This window comes from Homo sapiens, chromosome 15 (assembly GCF_000001405.40).
Source record: "Homo sapiens chromosome 15, GRCh38.p14 Primary Assembly".
NCBI lineage: Eukaryota > Metazoa > Chordata > Mammalia > Primates > Hominidae > Homo > Homo sapiens.
Window position 1 is genome coordinate 63,761,473 of NC_000015.10, and position 12,569 is coordinate 63,774,041.

At 40.9% G+C, this 12,569-nt stretch overlaps 1 protein-coding gene across 50 annotated transcripts in view, besides 2 other annotated features; it reads right to left on the reverse strand.

Annotated features, from left to right (window-relative positions):
- HERC1 (HECT and RLD domain containing E3 ubiquitin protein ligase family member 1) overlaps positions 1–12,569 on the reverse strand; it is a 225,331-nt gene that overhangs the window by 152,855 nt on the left and 59,907 nt on the right. For all 50 annotated transcript variants that reach the window (XM_047433260.1, XM_047433247.1, XM_047433234.1 and 47 more), the window contains exon 3: positions 2,624–2,719. In XM_047433260.1, the coding sequence (XP_047289216.1) occupies positions 2,624–2,719 (96 nt within the window). The remainder of the gene's footprint in view (positions 1–2,623; positions 2,720–12,569) is intronic.
- Positions 3,660–4,417: an enhancer, noted in NCBI's record as "OCT4-NANOG-H3K27ac-H3K4me1 hESC enhancer chr15:64057331-64058088 (GRCh37/hg19 assembly coordinates)". NCBI's record gives its function as "activates a minimal SCP1, AML or CMV promoter by ChIP-STARR-seq in primed H9 embryonic stem cells {active_cell/tissue: H9 hESC(primed)}" and the evidence as "EXISTENCE:reporter gene assay evidence [ECO:0000049][PMID:30033119]".
- Positions 5,233–5,733: an enhancer, noted in NCBI's record as "H3K27ac hESC enhancer chr15:64058904-64059404 (GRCh37/hg19 assembly coordinates)". NCBI's record gives its function as "activates a minimal SCP1, AML or CMV promoter by ChIP-STARR-seq in primed H9 embryonic stem cells {active_cell/tissue: H9 hESC(primed)}" and the evidence as "EXISTENCE:reporter gene assay evidence [ECO:0000049][PMID:30033119]".

Below are 12,569 nucleotides of genomic sequence, written 5' to 3' on the forward strand. Positions count from 1 at the left end.
GCTACTTGGGAGGCTGAGGCTGGAAGATCACTTGAGCCCAGGAGATAGAAGCTGCAGGGCACTATGATCACAGCACTGCACACTCTAGCCTGGGCAACAGAGCAAGACTGTCTCAAAAAAAAAAAAAAAAATGCAGAGAGTATGTAATAACTATATGGCCTATATAGATGTAATACAATTATTAAAAAACAGGGAAAGCATAATTTAGAAATTAATTTTTTCAGTAATCATACAGCAGTAATTATTTGTCTTATTTTAGGACTGCTGTTTATGTGTCTATGTGTGTAACATGTAATTAAAACAAATGAGTAATAATGGCATATTCTAATTCTCATCCTTGTATCTTTGGGAATTAGCAATCTTAGTTTAAAAGGAAGAAGATATAAATGTAAAGGTTAAGTAAAAATTCTATAGCTGTGAATTTGAAAGTATCAGTATGAACTCATTAGGTATCTTAGCTTTAAAAACACATGTATACACATCCTAGCTCTGTCTACCATGAATATAAAAACCTAGAAATAAGACCAACTCAGTAGCAGTAAGCATTTCTAGCACCCTGATTGTGGTCTTGAAATATCATTTTCCAATAAAAGAAACCAGGACTTTTTTCAGAAAACTAGCTAGATGATTCCAGATTGGGGGCAACAAATGTGTAAGATCAGCCAGAAACAATGAAACGTATCAGAAAGCAAGGAGGCTCTAAAAGATTATGAGGCTTATGTTAAAATAACTTAGGAACCACCCTGAAGAGACTAATAGCCAAAAATGAAACAACATGACCTTCACTGCAGATAATAATTCAATGTGCTGAAACTCAAATAGGCTTAAATCTGTGGGTTCATAATGATTATTTATTTATTTATTTATTGAGATGAAGTTTTGGTCTTATTGCTCAGGCTGGAGCACAGTGGCATGATCTCTACTGACTGTAACCTCCACCTCCCGGGTTCAAGCAATTCTCCTGCCTCAGCCTCCTGAGTAGCTGGGATTACAGACGTCTGCCGCCCCACCCAGCTAATTTTTTGTATTTTTAATAGAGACTAGGTTTCACCATATTGGCCAGGCTGGTCTCGAACTCCTGACCTCAGGTAATCCACCCACCTCGGCCTCCCAAAGTGCTGGGATTACAGGTGTGAGCCACTGCACCCAGCCCATGATATTTTTTAAATGAAGTTAATTGGCCAAGTTTGGAGGATGGTAGGAAGACAATTCATTAAATTGAAAACTGGTAAATAAAGAGCAGATAGAAAGAATCAAGCATTTATTCTGCTCTTCCCATATAAACTGTAGCAGAGTAATCAGTCAATAAGGGAATCTCTTCACAAAAATATTGCAACTAATTGTTGGGAAAAAGCTGAGTGTTGCGAGGGAAACTGAGGCAGGGCTTGCATAATGTCCTCTCGAATGTGTCTAGACTTGCTGGCTCCTTGCTTCTAGCTCTCCTAGGCTCCTATTCCCATTATCTCAAGTAGCAGAACATGTTCCATATAAATGCTAAACCATCACAGCTGTAGACCATGCGCCTGCCCTTTTGACCTCCACATTCTCACCACCTATTTCTTTGTTGGATTACCAATAAATACCGTGGGGTCCCAGAGCTCAGGGCCTTTGTGGGCTCCACAATAGCCATGGCCCCCTGGTGTCCCACCTTTCTCTCTCAAACTGTCTTTTTCTCAATCCTTTGAATCCACCGGACTTTGTCACCCCCACGACCTGGTGTTGGGTCTGATCACCCCAACACTAATAAAAAGAAACGATAGAATTAGAATATCATATTTTTGCAACAAAGCACAAAAGAATTAATATAGTCATTAAGCATCAAGGGCTAATACCACAAAGAGAGACAACCAGATAGAACCTAATGGAAGAATACATGTATACAGACATAACACCTGAGACTGATCAAGCCTCTGGATCCAGCTGCCAATTTATAGGAAATACAGAGGATAAAGAAACATAAGGAACTGCATCATGAGTAATCTATCAGTAAAACCCAGACTGTGGGAAATGCTACAGCCTAGAAAGCCTAGATTCCTGAACAAACATATTGAAGGAAAAGAAAAATGGAGGAGGGAACCTAGAGATTAAAATATTTAAAAGACTTTCCTTTTTTTTTTTTTAATGGGCAAGACTATAGTGTCTAAGGATGCACATCTGGTTGACAGAACTATAAAGAAATGCAAGGAAGTGGTCAAAGTCACAATAGTGGTTACTTTGGGGAGGAGAAAAGAGGTTATGACAAGGCTGTGAAAGGGCTTCTGCAATGACTAAGAAAATTCTTTACCTAGGTACATATTAGAAGGGTATTTATTTTATAATAATTCATTAAGCAATATATGTGTATGCTTTTCTATGTGTTTTACTTAATACAACATTTTTTCAATTAAAGTTACCAGCACATAATTCAAAAATCAAAATAAATGAAAGGGTATACATTGAAAAGAATGTCTCCTACTCACCCCACCCCCACCCTAGATACCCAGTTCCTCTCTCTAGAGGTAACAACTGGTGCCACTTCCTTTTGTAGCTTTTCCAGAGAAAATGGATTATTTTTAAGGGATAAATACATGCCATAGCATTTTAACACAAAGTTGTTAATACAAAAGCCACGATTATTACGTACCTCTTCAAAGAGACATAATGCTGCCTCGTAAAGGGAGCACAAGCCATCCGATGTTCTGGTTGGTTCTCTCCACTGACTCCGATCAGCAGATGAACCCTATAATTAAAACATTGCGGGACACAGCGTAGGAAGGGGAGAGACATATGCATTAAAATTAGTTAAACAGTCTACAAAAACAACACCTATTTGAAGACCTGTTTATATAATTATGTGCACTGAAACCAAATCCTAACATTAGGTCATGAAACTAACTTTTGCAAGGAAGTTTTATTAAACGAGCTGGCTACTGCATCACATGATAAATTAAGTGCCAATCCCTCACTGATTACCTGATTAAAAAGTGATTTATTCCAAGGGACACAGGGCTCTCGAAACAATCAAGGAAGTGGAATTCTGCCAGTTACACACTCTTTGGGTGACCAGTATCCAGAAAATGTGGTCTCAGGAAATACTCCCCATGGGTATATTGCCCACCTGCCTTCCACCTGACAGAATACAGCCAGCTTTAGTAATGACGTGACCAAAGCAGCAGAAAGTCTGTCCCTCCCTTCTTAGTTTCACCACAACCAAGGTCCCAGTGTTACAGTGTTACAACCCCCACCACCAGGTATGTCAGGTGACCATCAAGTGATGGTCAGGCAGTGGTTAACTGTCTCTCTAAAACAATAATTGACTGCAGCCAGCACCAGGGAAAGGCAGTCTCCCAACAGACAGAAAAAAACCCTGAAACTTGTGATCAGCAACTTGCTAATAAGATCTCAGGAGCTGGGTGAGTGGGATCAAGCATGCACATTAAGAGGCAAAATGGAGGAGTTTAACTGGTATATGACCTTCTAGGGTCTTGCTCTGTTGCCAAGGCTGGAATTCAGTGGCAAAGATTATTGCTGTGAAAAGGAAATAAAACCTTGAGACTCCAATTCACCCTGACAAAAGAAAAAAATTAAGCTGACGGCTGACTTATGCAAGAAGCTGCCTTTCCTTTTGTTCCGAAGCAGATAGCTACAGATGAAAGGGTGAATATCCTCATAGGTAACTACTCTCTGTTCACCTTATCTTATATAAAATGCCTATCTACTGAGCGCCAGAGAAATACATAATTCCACTATTCTGCTCCTTTTCTCTTGCAATTTGTGGATTCAGTAATGCGACCATACCCTCCTTTGTTCTCCTCCAGCCTGCTTACCCCCTTTAAATAGTGAAGCCCTCAATATCACCTTTGGAAAAAGGCACAGATCTGTGTAAACCAAAAATAAAATTCAAAGGCCCCCAGCAACCATCTGAATGGACTCCCTCCTATGGGAGGGCACTCTAAAATTTAACCTGAAGAACTGATTCAGGCCAGGACGGGAAGTGGGAGATCGGACATGCCTCATTATATCCATCCAGCGTTAACATCAATACTGATCTTAAGTCTAAAAAGAAACATTTACAGTCTATTCTCTCTAAGCCTGCTACTTGGAGGCTTCATCTGCATGATAAAACCTACCTCTCCCACAACTCCTTATTGTAACCCACACATTCCACTAACTCTTTCAACGAACGGCCAATCAGAATATGTTTAAATCTACCTATGACCTGGAAGCCCCCCACCTCGAGTTATCCCATCCTTTCAGATCAAACCAATAAGATCTTACATGTACTGATTGATATATTATGTCGCCCTAAAATGTATAAAAGCAAGCTGTACCCCAACTGCCTTGGGCACCTGCCACCAGGACTTCCTGAGGCTGTCACAGGCATGTCCTTAACCTTGGCAAAATAAACTTTATTTTATTTTTTTGAGACTGTTTCGCTCTTGTCACCCAGGCTGGAGTGCAATGGCTTTCTAAACTGATAGAGAAAGATCAATTTCTTGTCTCAGACACTTCTTGGTTTACACTCATCTCCCAGGCATTGTCCTTAACCTTGACAAAATAAACCTAAATTGATTTGCGACCTGTCTCAGATAGTTTTTGGTTTACATAACTCACTATAGCCTCAACCTCCTGGGCTCAAGTGATCCTCCCACCTCAGGATCTACTAATAAAGCTTATTATTAAGGCTTATTAACTATTAGTAAATATTAAAATGTATTTATACTATTAATATAATCATAGAGGTCAAACATTAACTTCATCAATATTAATCCGATTAATTTGATTAATACTAATTTATTTATGTTATATTATATATTAGTAATTAATTAAAATTAATATCATTAAAAGCATATTAGCCAGGCACAGTGGCTCACACCTGTAATCCCAGCATTTTGGGAGGCTGAGGTGGGCAGATCACTTGAGGTCAGGAGTTCAAGACCAGCCTGGCCAACATGGTAAAACCTTGTCTCTACTAAAAATACAAAACTTCTCAAGGTATGGTGGCATGTGCCTGTAATCCTAGATACTTGAGAGGCTGAGGCAGGAAAATCGCTTGAACCCAGGAGGCGGAGGTTGCAGATCGCACCACTGCACTCCAGCCTAGGTGACAGAATGAGACTCCGTCTCAAAATAAAAAACAGCACATTAATAAAGCTTATCAACTATTAATGAAGCTTACTTAGAATTTTTTAAGTTTCGTAATACATTAAAGGTTAGGGGTTTTTTTGTTTTGTTTTGTTTTTGAGACAGAGCTTCACTCTTGTTGCCCAGGCTGGAGTGCAATGGCACGATCTCGGCTCACTATAACCTCTACCTCCCAGTTTCAAGTAATTATCCTGCCTCAGTCTCCCGAGTAGCTGGGATTACAGGCATGAGCCACCATGCCCAGCTAATTTTGTATTTTTAGCAGAGAAGAGGTTTCTCCATGTTGGTTCAGGCTGGTCTGAAACTCCCAACCCCAGGTGATCTGCCCACCTGGGCCTCCCAAAGTGCTGGGATTACAGGCGTGAGCCACCATGCCCAGCCTACACTAAAGTTTTATAGGTTTTTCATTTGTTTTTTTTTTTTGAAATGGAGTCTTGCTCTGTTGCCCAGGCTGGAGTGCAGTAGCGCAGTCTCGGCTCACTGCAACCTCCACCTTCCGGGTTTAAGCAATTCCCCTGCCTCAGCCTCCCAAGTAGCTGGATTACAAGTGCACGCCACCATGCTTAGCTAATTTTTTTGTATTTTTAGTAGAGACAGGGTTTCACCATGTTGGCCACACTGCTCTCGAACTACTGACCTCAGGCAATCCACCCGTCTCGGCCTCCCAAAGTGCTGGGATTACAGGCGTGAGCCACCGCGCCTGGCCTATAGGTTTTAAGTTGCTCTATATATTCATCTGTCCTCTTTCTATTCCATCAGGTAAATAAAACAATGGTGAACTTTTCATCAATCTGTATCTACTGGGCAGATAAACAATAAATAATACTTTTAAATAAAAACAGCAAATATCCCCAGCACTTTGGGAGGCCAAGGCGGGTGGATCATCTGAGGTCAGGAGTTAGAGACCAGCCTGACCATGCTGAAACCCCATCTCTACTAAAAATACAAAATTTTAGCCGGGCGTGGTGGCGGGCACCTGTAGTCCCAGCCACTGGGGAGGCTGGGGCAGGAGAATCACTTGAACCCAGGAGGCGGAGGCTGCAGTCAGCCGAGATCGCCCCACCGCACTCCAGCCTGGGAAACAAGAGCGAGGCTCCGTCTCAAAAACAAAACAAAACAGCAAATATCTTGCTACCCTCAAATCAATGAAATGTCAATCACTTTGGAGAGTTCTCCGAAGAGCTGAGTATTACATGGCAGAACTTTTTTGTCATCTAACAAGTTCTCCCTCTGCCTTCAAAAGCTGCTATGATGAAGTCCATGTGAATGACTTTCACACCACTCTCCTCACCCCAGCAAAGCTGCAGAGAAGTTTAATCTTCAGTCTCTTCATATAGCTTCCTTTTCTCCAAGATCTTTATAAATTTACTATGTAAAGCTTCCTGTTGTCATAGTCTCCGTTATCGCCCCACCCCATTAATAATCATTATTCTTAATTATTCTCTTCAGCTGTTCCAAATCCCTCACTTCTCAGATAGCTTTCAATAACTATGATAGCTAATCAGAGCCTTCCAATCATAGCACATTGCTCATCGTCTTCAGATCTCTGATTCTATTCGACTGTTTCTCTTATTGCTGGGTCATCTGCTATTAACCTGCTGCTGCCAAGTCAGTTTTTCTTTTTAATTATTTAGGATGTTGCTTCTCAAATTTCAATGTTGACACGAATTACCTGGTGATCTTGTTAAAATACAGATCCTAATCAGTAAGTAGAGAAGAAGCCTAAGATTCTGCATTTCTAACAAATGTAGGTGATGCCAGTGCTATTGTCTGTGGCTCACACTTTGAGTAGTAAGGCTTCAGAGTCCAGACTCAGGTATGGAATCATATCAGAAGCTAAGTGTTTAAAAGTAACTAGTCCCTAGACATACAATGTGTTGCTACAACAACAAATACTTGGTTGCAACCTCTCCAAATTCCCTAGTTAGCTGTGAAGCATTTCTGAGAAAAATCGCAATTGTGATCTGTGGCTTCGTTATCTAAAAGCCAACTCTAGTGATCACCAAAACAAAAACAGGTAAGGAGTAGACTGATGTACCTTTCTAGGAGCTGGCACCAGGGCCATCATGATCCCTCTTTTATGCCTTTCTACAGTATGGAGAAAAATGTTGAAAACAGCATAAAGTTTTTAGTGATAAACTTGGGTTTAAATCTAGGCTCCATCCCTTACTGGCTCTTACTGAAAGGGTCTCATCCTGAGATGGGAATGATGCCCACAACATTTAGAGCTGTTACATAATTAACTGAAATTATGTGTAAAACATGCTTAGCACAGTTCCCACTACATAGTAAGATCTCAAAACTGATAGCAATAATTATTATTTTGCATTATGTATATATATATTGAGAAAGAAGAGAAAATACTGGGAGCCTTTAATAAATTACTGCCAAATTTAACAATACCAAACCAACAAAATATCCCACAAACACTGTAATGACTGTTGTTAATTTCTCAACAAAAAAGTCAGTATTTAAGGATAAGTCTACTCCAGCTTCAGTCAGTTACGATTGAAGACACACCTAAAACTCATTCTACACAGGCCGGGCACAGTGGTTCACGCCTGTAATCCCAGCACTTTGGGAGGCCTATGCAGGTGGATCACCTGAGGTCAGGAGTTCAAAACCAGCCTGGCCAACATGGCAAAACCCCGTCTCTACTAAAAAATACAAAAATCAGCCAGGTGTGGTGGCAGGCGCCTGTAATCCCAGCTACTCATGAGGCTGAGGCAGGGAGAACTGCTTGAACCTGGGAGGCGGGAGCTGCAGTGAGACGAGATCTTGCCACTGCACTCCAGAGTGGGTGACAGAGTGAGACTCTGTTTCCAAAAAAAACAGGGCTAAAGCTGGGCATTTTTAGAGAAAATAAATTTTGAAAAATATAGCCCATTAAATGTATAACTTCATTTGTTCACATTCTCAACATGATGGAAAGTTCAATGGTCCAAAAATAAAGTCGAAATTAAAATAAATTTTGGGGCCCGGTGTGGTGGCTCACGCCTGTAATCTCAGCACTTTCGGAGACTAAGGCAGGCAGATCATCTGAGGTCAGGAGTTCGAGACCAGCCTGGCCAACATGGTGAAGCCCCATCTCTACTAAAAATATAAAAAAATTAGCCAGGCATGGTGGCGGGCACCTGTAATCCCAGCTACTTGGGAAGTTGAGGCAGGAGAATCGCTTGAACCCGGGAGGTGGAAGTTGCAGTGAGCCAAGATTATGCCACTGCACTCCAGCCTGGGCATCAGAGCAAGACTCTCTGTCTTAAAAAATAAAAAAAATAAATGTTTTTGTTTCACAGGTCTTTAGTTACCTTCCTCTTATCTACCATACTAAATGACAATTTTTTTCCCCTCACATTTGTCTGCTTAAGATATTCAAAGACATAAGATTAGACGGAGTACATTTCCTTCCGTTCTGGCTGTTTTTACTCAAAATTGCTTCAATAACTTCACATTACATATGGGATCAAGTCCCCAAAGCCTATAGCATGGGATACAGGGCCCTGCCTAGCTTGCAGCCTCAATCTCATCTCATTCCATTCCATACATCCCGGGGCTTGCTCTCCCCACAACTCAATCGCTTTGTGAGCCTCTCATCTGAAAAGTTCTCCAGCTCCCCTGACACACACACCTCACAATTGCTGGCAAAACCCTCCTACTTTTCAAATAACCTCAGGGGTACTTCCTCCGTAAGACATTTTCGGTCCCTTTGCCTCCCGCCCTCTTCTTTCATCCCATCATCTCCTCCCAGTACAGACTTCTACTATAGCCCATTATCATTAATTTGAAATGTCTGTGCATCCCTCTTTCATTACACTGTGGGCTGTCTAAAGACATGGATGCTCCAAAGCTTATTCATCTTTTTAACCCAGTGCCTAGCAGTATCTGGCACAACATGTGCAGTAAACACCTAGTGGCATCAAAGGTGAATGGCGTACATATGGTTATTTTTTATAATTTGAAGATGTACACTGAGATTACTTCCCTATTCTCATATAAGTTAATGAATATATTGTGTGTTCCCACCAAATTCATTACATATGTGTGGGCAGCAGAGATTAAGAATCACACAAGTAAATACAATTTACCGATTGAACTTATTTTTGTTAGGTCTTGTACCAGATACTCAATAGATGGTTATGTGTCTCTCCCTCTAACTTATAGCTGGGAGATAAGTTCTGGCCCAGTTACTCAAGGATAGAGAAATTCAAGACGGGGAGGATCAGGTCAGGTTGGGGTCTAGTGTATCAGAAGAGGCTCTACAAACTTCCTAGTTCTCAGACAACAGTAAAGTGTAAGAAACATGGGTTCTAGGCTGGGCACGGTGGCTCACGCCTGTAATCCCAGCACTGTGGGAGGCCGAGGCAGGTAGATCACCTGAGGTTAGGAGTTCGAGACCAGCCTGGCCAACATGGTGAAACCCCGTCTCTACTAAAAATACAAAAATTAGCCAGGCATGATAGCAAGTGCCTGTAAACCCAGCTACTGGGGAGGCTGAGGCACGAGAATAGCTTGAACCCAGGAGGCAGAGGTTGCAGTGAGCCAAGTTCACACCATTGCACTCCAGCCTGGGTGGCAGAGCAAAACTCTACCTCAAAAAAAAAAAGAAAAGAAAAGAAACACGGGTTCTGGAGACCAAAAACATCAGATACTATCACTGACTGTGCAAGAAGAAATAACAAATATATAATTCAGTTTAATAAGCATTCCTTTCCCCTAAAACCAAGCTGAGATTTAATTAAAATTCAATCTAATGTAGGCCTGAGGTGGCTTTGAGACCTAAATTAAGTCAAACACATATTCTTCCCCAGAATAGATCTAGAATTCTGAGAAAAGCAATCTAGTTTTTTTTTTTTTGAGACAGTCTTGGTCTGTCACCCAGGCTGGAGTGCAATGGTGCGATCTCAGCTCACTGCAACCTCCACCTCCCAGGTTCAAGCGATTCTCCCTGCCTCAGCCTCCCAAGTAGCTGGGATTACAGGCACCTGCCACCATGCCTGGCTAATTTTTTTATTTTTAATAGAGACAGGGTTTCACCATGTTGGCCAGGCTTGTCTCAAAACTCCTGACCTCAGGTGATCTGCCCGCCTCGGCCTCCCAAAGTGCTGGGATTACAGGTGTAAGCCACCACGCCTGGCCAGCAATCTAGTTTTTTAGAGGCATCTCTGCCCCAATAAGGAGCTATATTATAGGGTATGGCTTTAGAGAGGAAGGAGGGAGGAACCTCCCTGACTAGCGAATTTGCTATTTTGTCTGGGAATGAGAGGCCAAGTAGAAAGAAAACTGGAAATCCAGCAGTTAAAAAAAAAATTATTTTAGATCTACTTTAAGGTAGGCCTTCATGGAAACCCCGTCTCTACTAAAAATACAGAAACAAAATTAGCTGGGCATGGTGGCAGGTGCCTGTAGTCCCAGTTACTTGGGAGGCTGAGGCAGGAGAATCACTTGAACCCGGGAGGTGGAGGTTGCAGTGAACCAAGATCACGCCACTACACTCCAGCCTGGGCAACAAGAGCAAAACTCCATCTCAAAAAAAAAAAGGGAAAAAGGAAAAATATTTAAACTATCCAGTCAATTATCAAATATGCATACAAGCCTAGACAATGAGGCTAAATGGACACTGAGAAAAGAAATCTATTTTCTGGGGTACCCTCTTCCCATTAAGGAGCAATATTGTAGAATAAGGCCTTAGAAGGTAAGGTCCTCGAGGAAGAGGCTTCTGCCTCAAGGTAACTAGCATTTTGTTCAAACACACCATTGGCAAACATTTAATCATATAACTATATTGTGCAATGATTAATATCTTTTTTGTAACAAAGGTAATGCAAAATAAATAGCCCGTAAAATGAGGAATTAAGTGACTTCTTACAGAAATATTAACATGTGACCATAAATACATTATTTTATTGTTTTAATATATATATATTAAATATATTATTTTAGGTCAATAAATCACTTTACAGACTTGAAAGGAGTATAACATAAGAGGATGTTACCAGAAAGTATTAAGAATCAGAAAACAAAGTTAGAAAAACATGTGCAAATGAGAGGATTTGAATATTGAATAAGAAAACACAAAGAGGCCTACACGCCTCCCACAGCTGGTCCCTAAAGCCTTTCCTAATTATTACATCATTGCATCCCTGGGCAACTCAAGTGAAGAACACAGAACCCATGTCAACATTCCATATCCCAAACAAAGCACGGCATGCTTTTCTTATTTATTTTTATGTAACAGTAAGAAATTCAAATTTTCATAGATCTTATGATCTAAAATCCCCAAGTACTTACCTATGATAAAATTGTAAAACATGACCCAATATTTACCATTTAGTTCATAAATGCAAAAAGTAGGTGAAAACTTAAATGTCCCTGGTTTGAAAATAAATTCAACATAATTGGATTTTATGAGACACTCCTGTCCAAAAGCTTTCTACTTGTTGCGGGTAGGGGGAGACTTGAAATATACATATATCATTTATAAGTGACATTTTTAGTTATTTTAACTAAATAGATTTGTTGGTTGACATCTGGTAACAAAGGATACCGAAAAGACTAATCAATGTAGGCCGGGTGTGGTGGCTCACACCTGTAATCCCAGCAGTGTGGGAGGCCAAGGTGGGCAGATCACCTGAGGTCAGGAGTTCCAGACCAGCTATGGTCAACATGGTGAAACCCCGTCTCTACTAAAAGTACAAAAATTAGCCGGGCATGCTAGTGCACACCTGTAATCCCAGCTACTCGGGAGGCTGAGGCAGGAGAATCGCTTGAACCCAGGAGGCAGAGGTTGCAGTGAGTGGAGATCACACCACTGCACTCCCGCCTGGGTGACAAGAGCTAGACTCTGTCTCAAAAAAAAAAAAAAAAAAGACTTGATCAATGTAACCTAATTAAAATTAAGTCAGCTTTTAAGTGTTTGAGTCTTAATATTTTAAATTTGTATTTTATTTTTTTTTATTTTATTTTATTTTTGAGACAGATTCTCGCTCTGTTGCCCAGGAGTGTTGTGGCATGATCTCTGCTCACTGCAACCTCCGTCTCCTGGGTTCAAGCAATTCTCCTGCCTCAGCCTCCCAAGTAGCTAGGATTACAGGTGCGCACCACCACACCCGGATAATTTTTGTATTTTTAGTAGAGATGGGGTTTCACCATGCTGGCCAGGCTGGTTTCAAACTCCTGGCCTCAAGTGATCCACCCTCCTGAGCTTCCCAAAAGTGCTGGGATTACAGGCATGAGACACCGCACCCAGCCTAAATTTGTATTTTAACATTTGAATTTTTATTCTTGGTTTTCACAAAGGTATATTTCAGTCTTACAAATTCTTGAAATTGATTATACTACGCTATTTTATTATTTATTCTTTAATGTTGTATCCAAGGTTATGATAGTCAAATAATTAATTTCCTCTGACAACACGCTCTTCACAGATCTTTCCTTAGCTCATCACT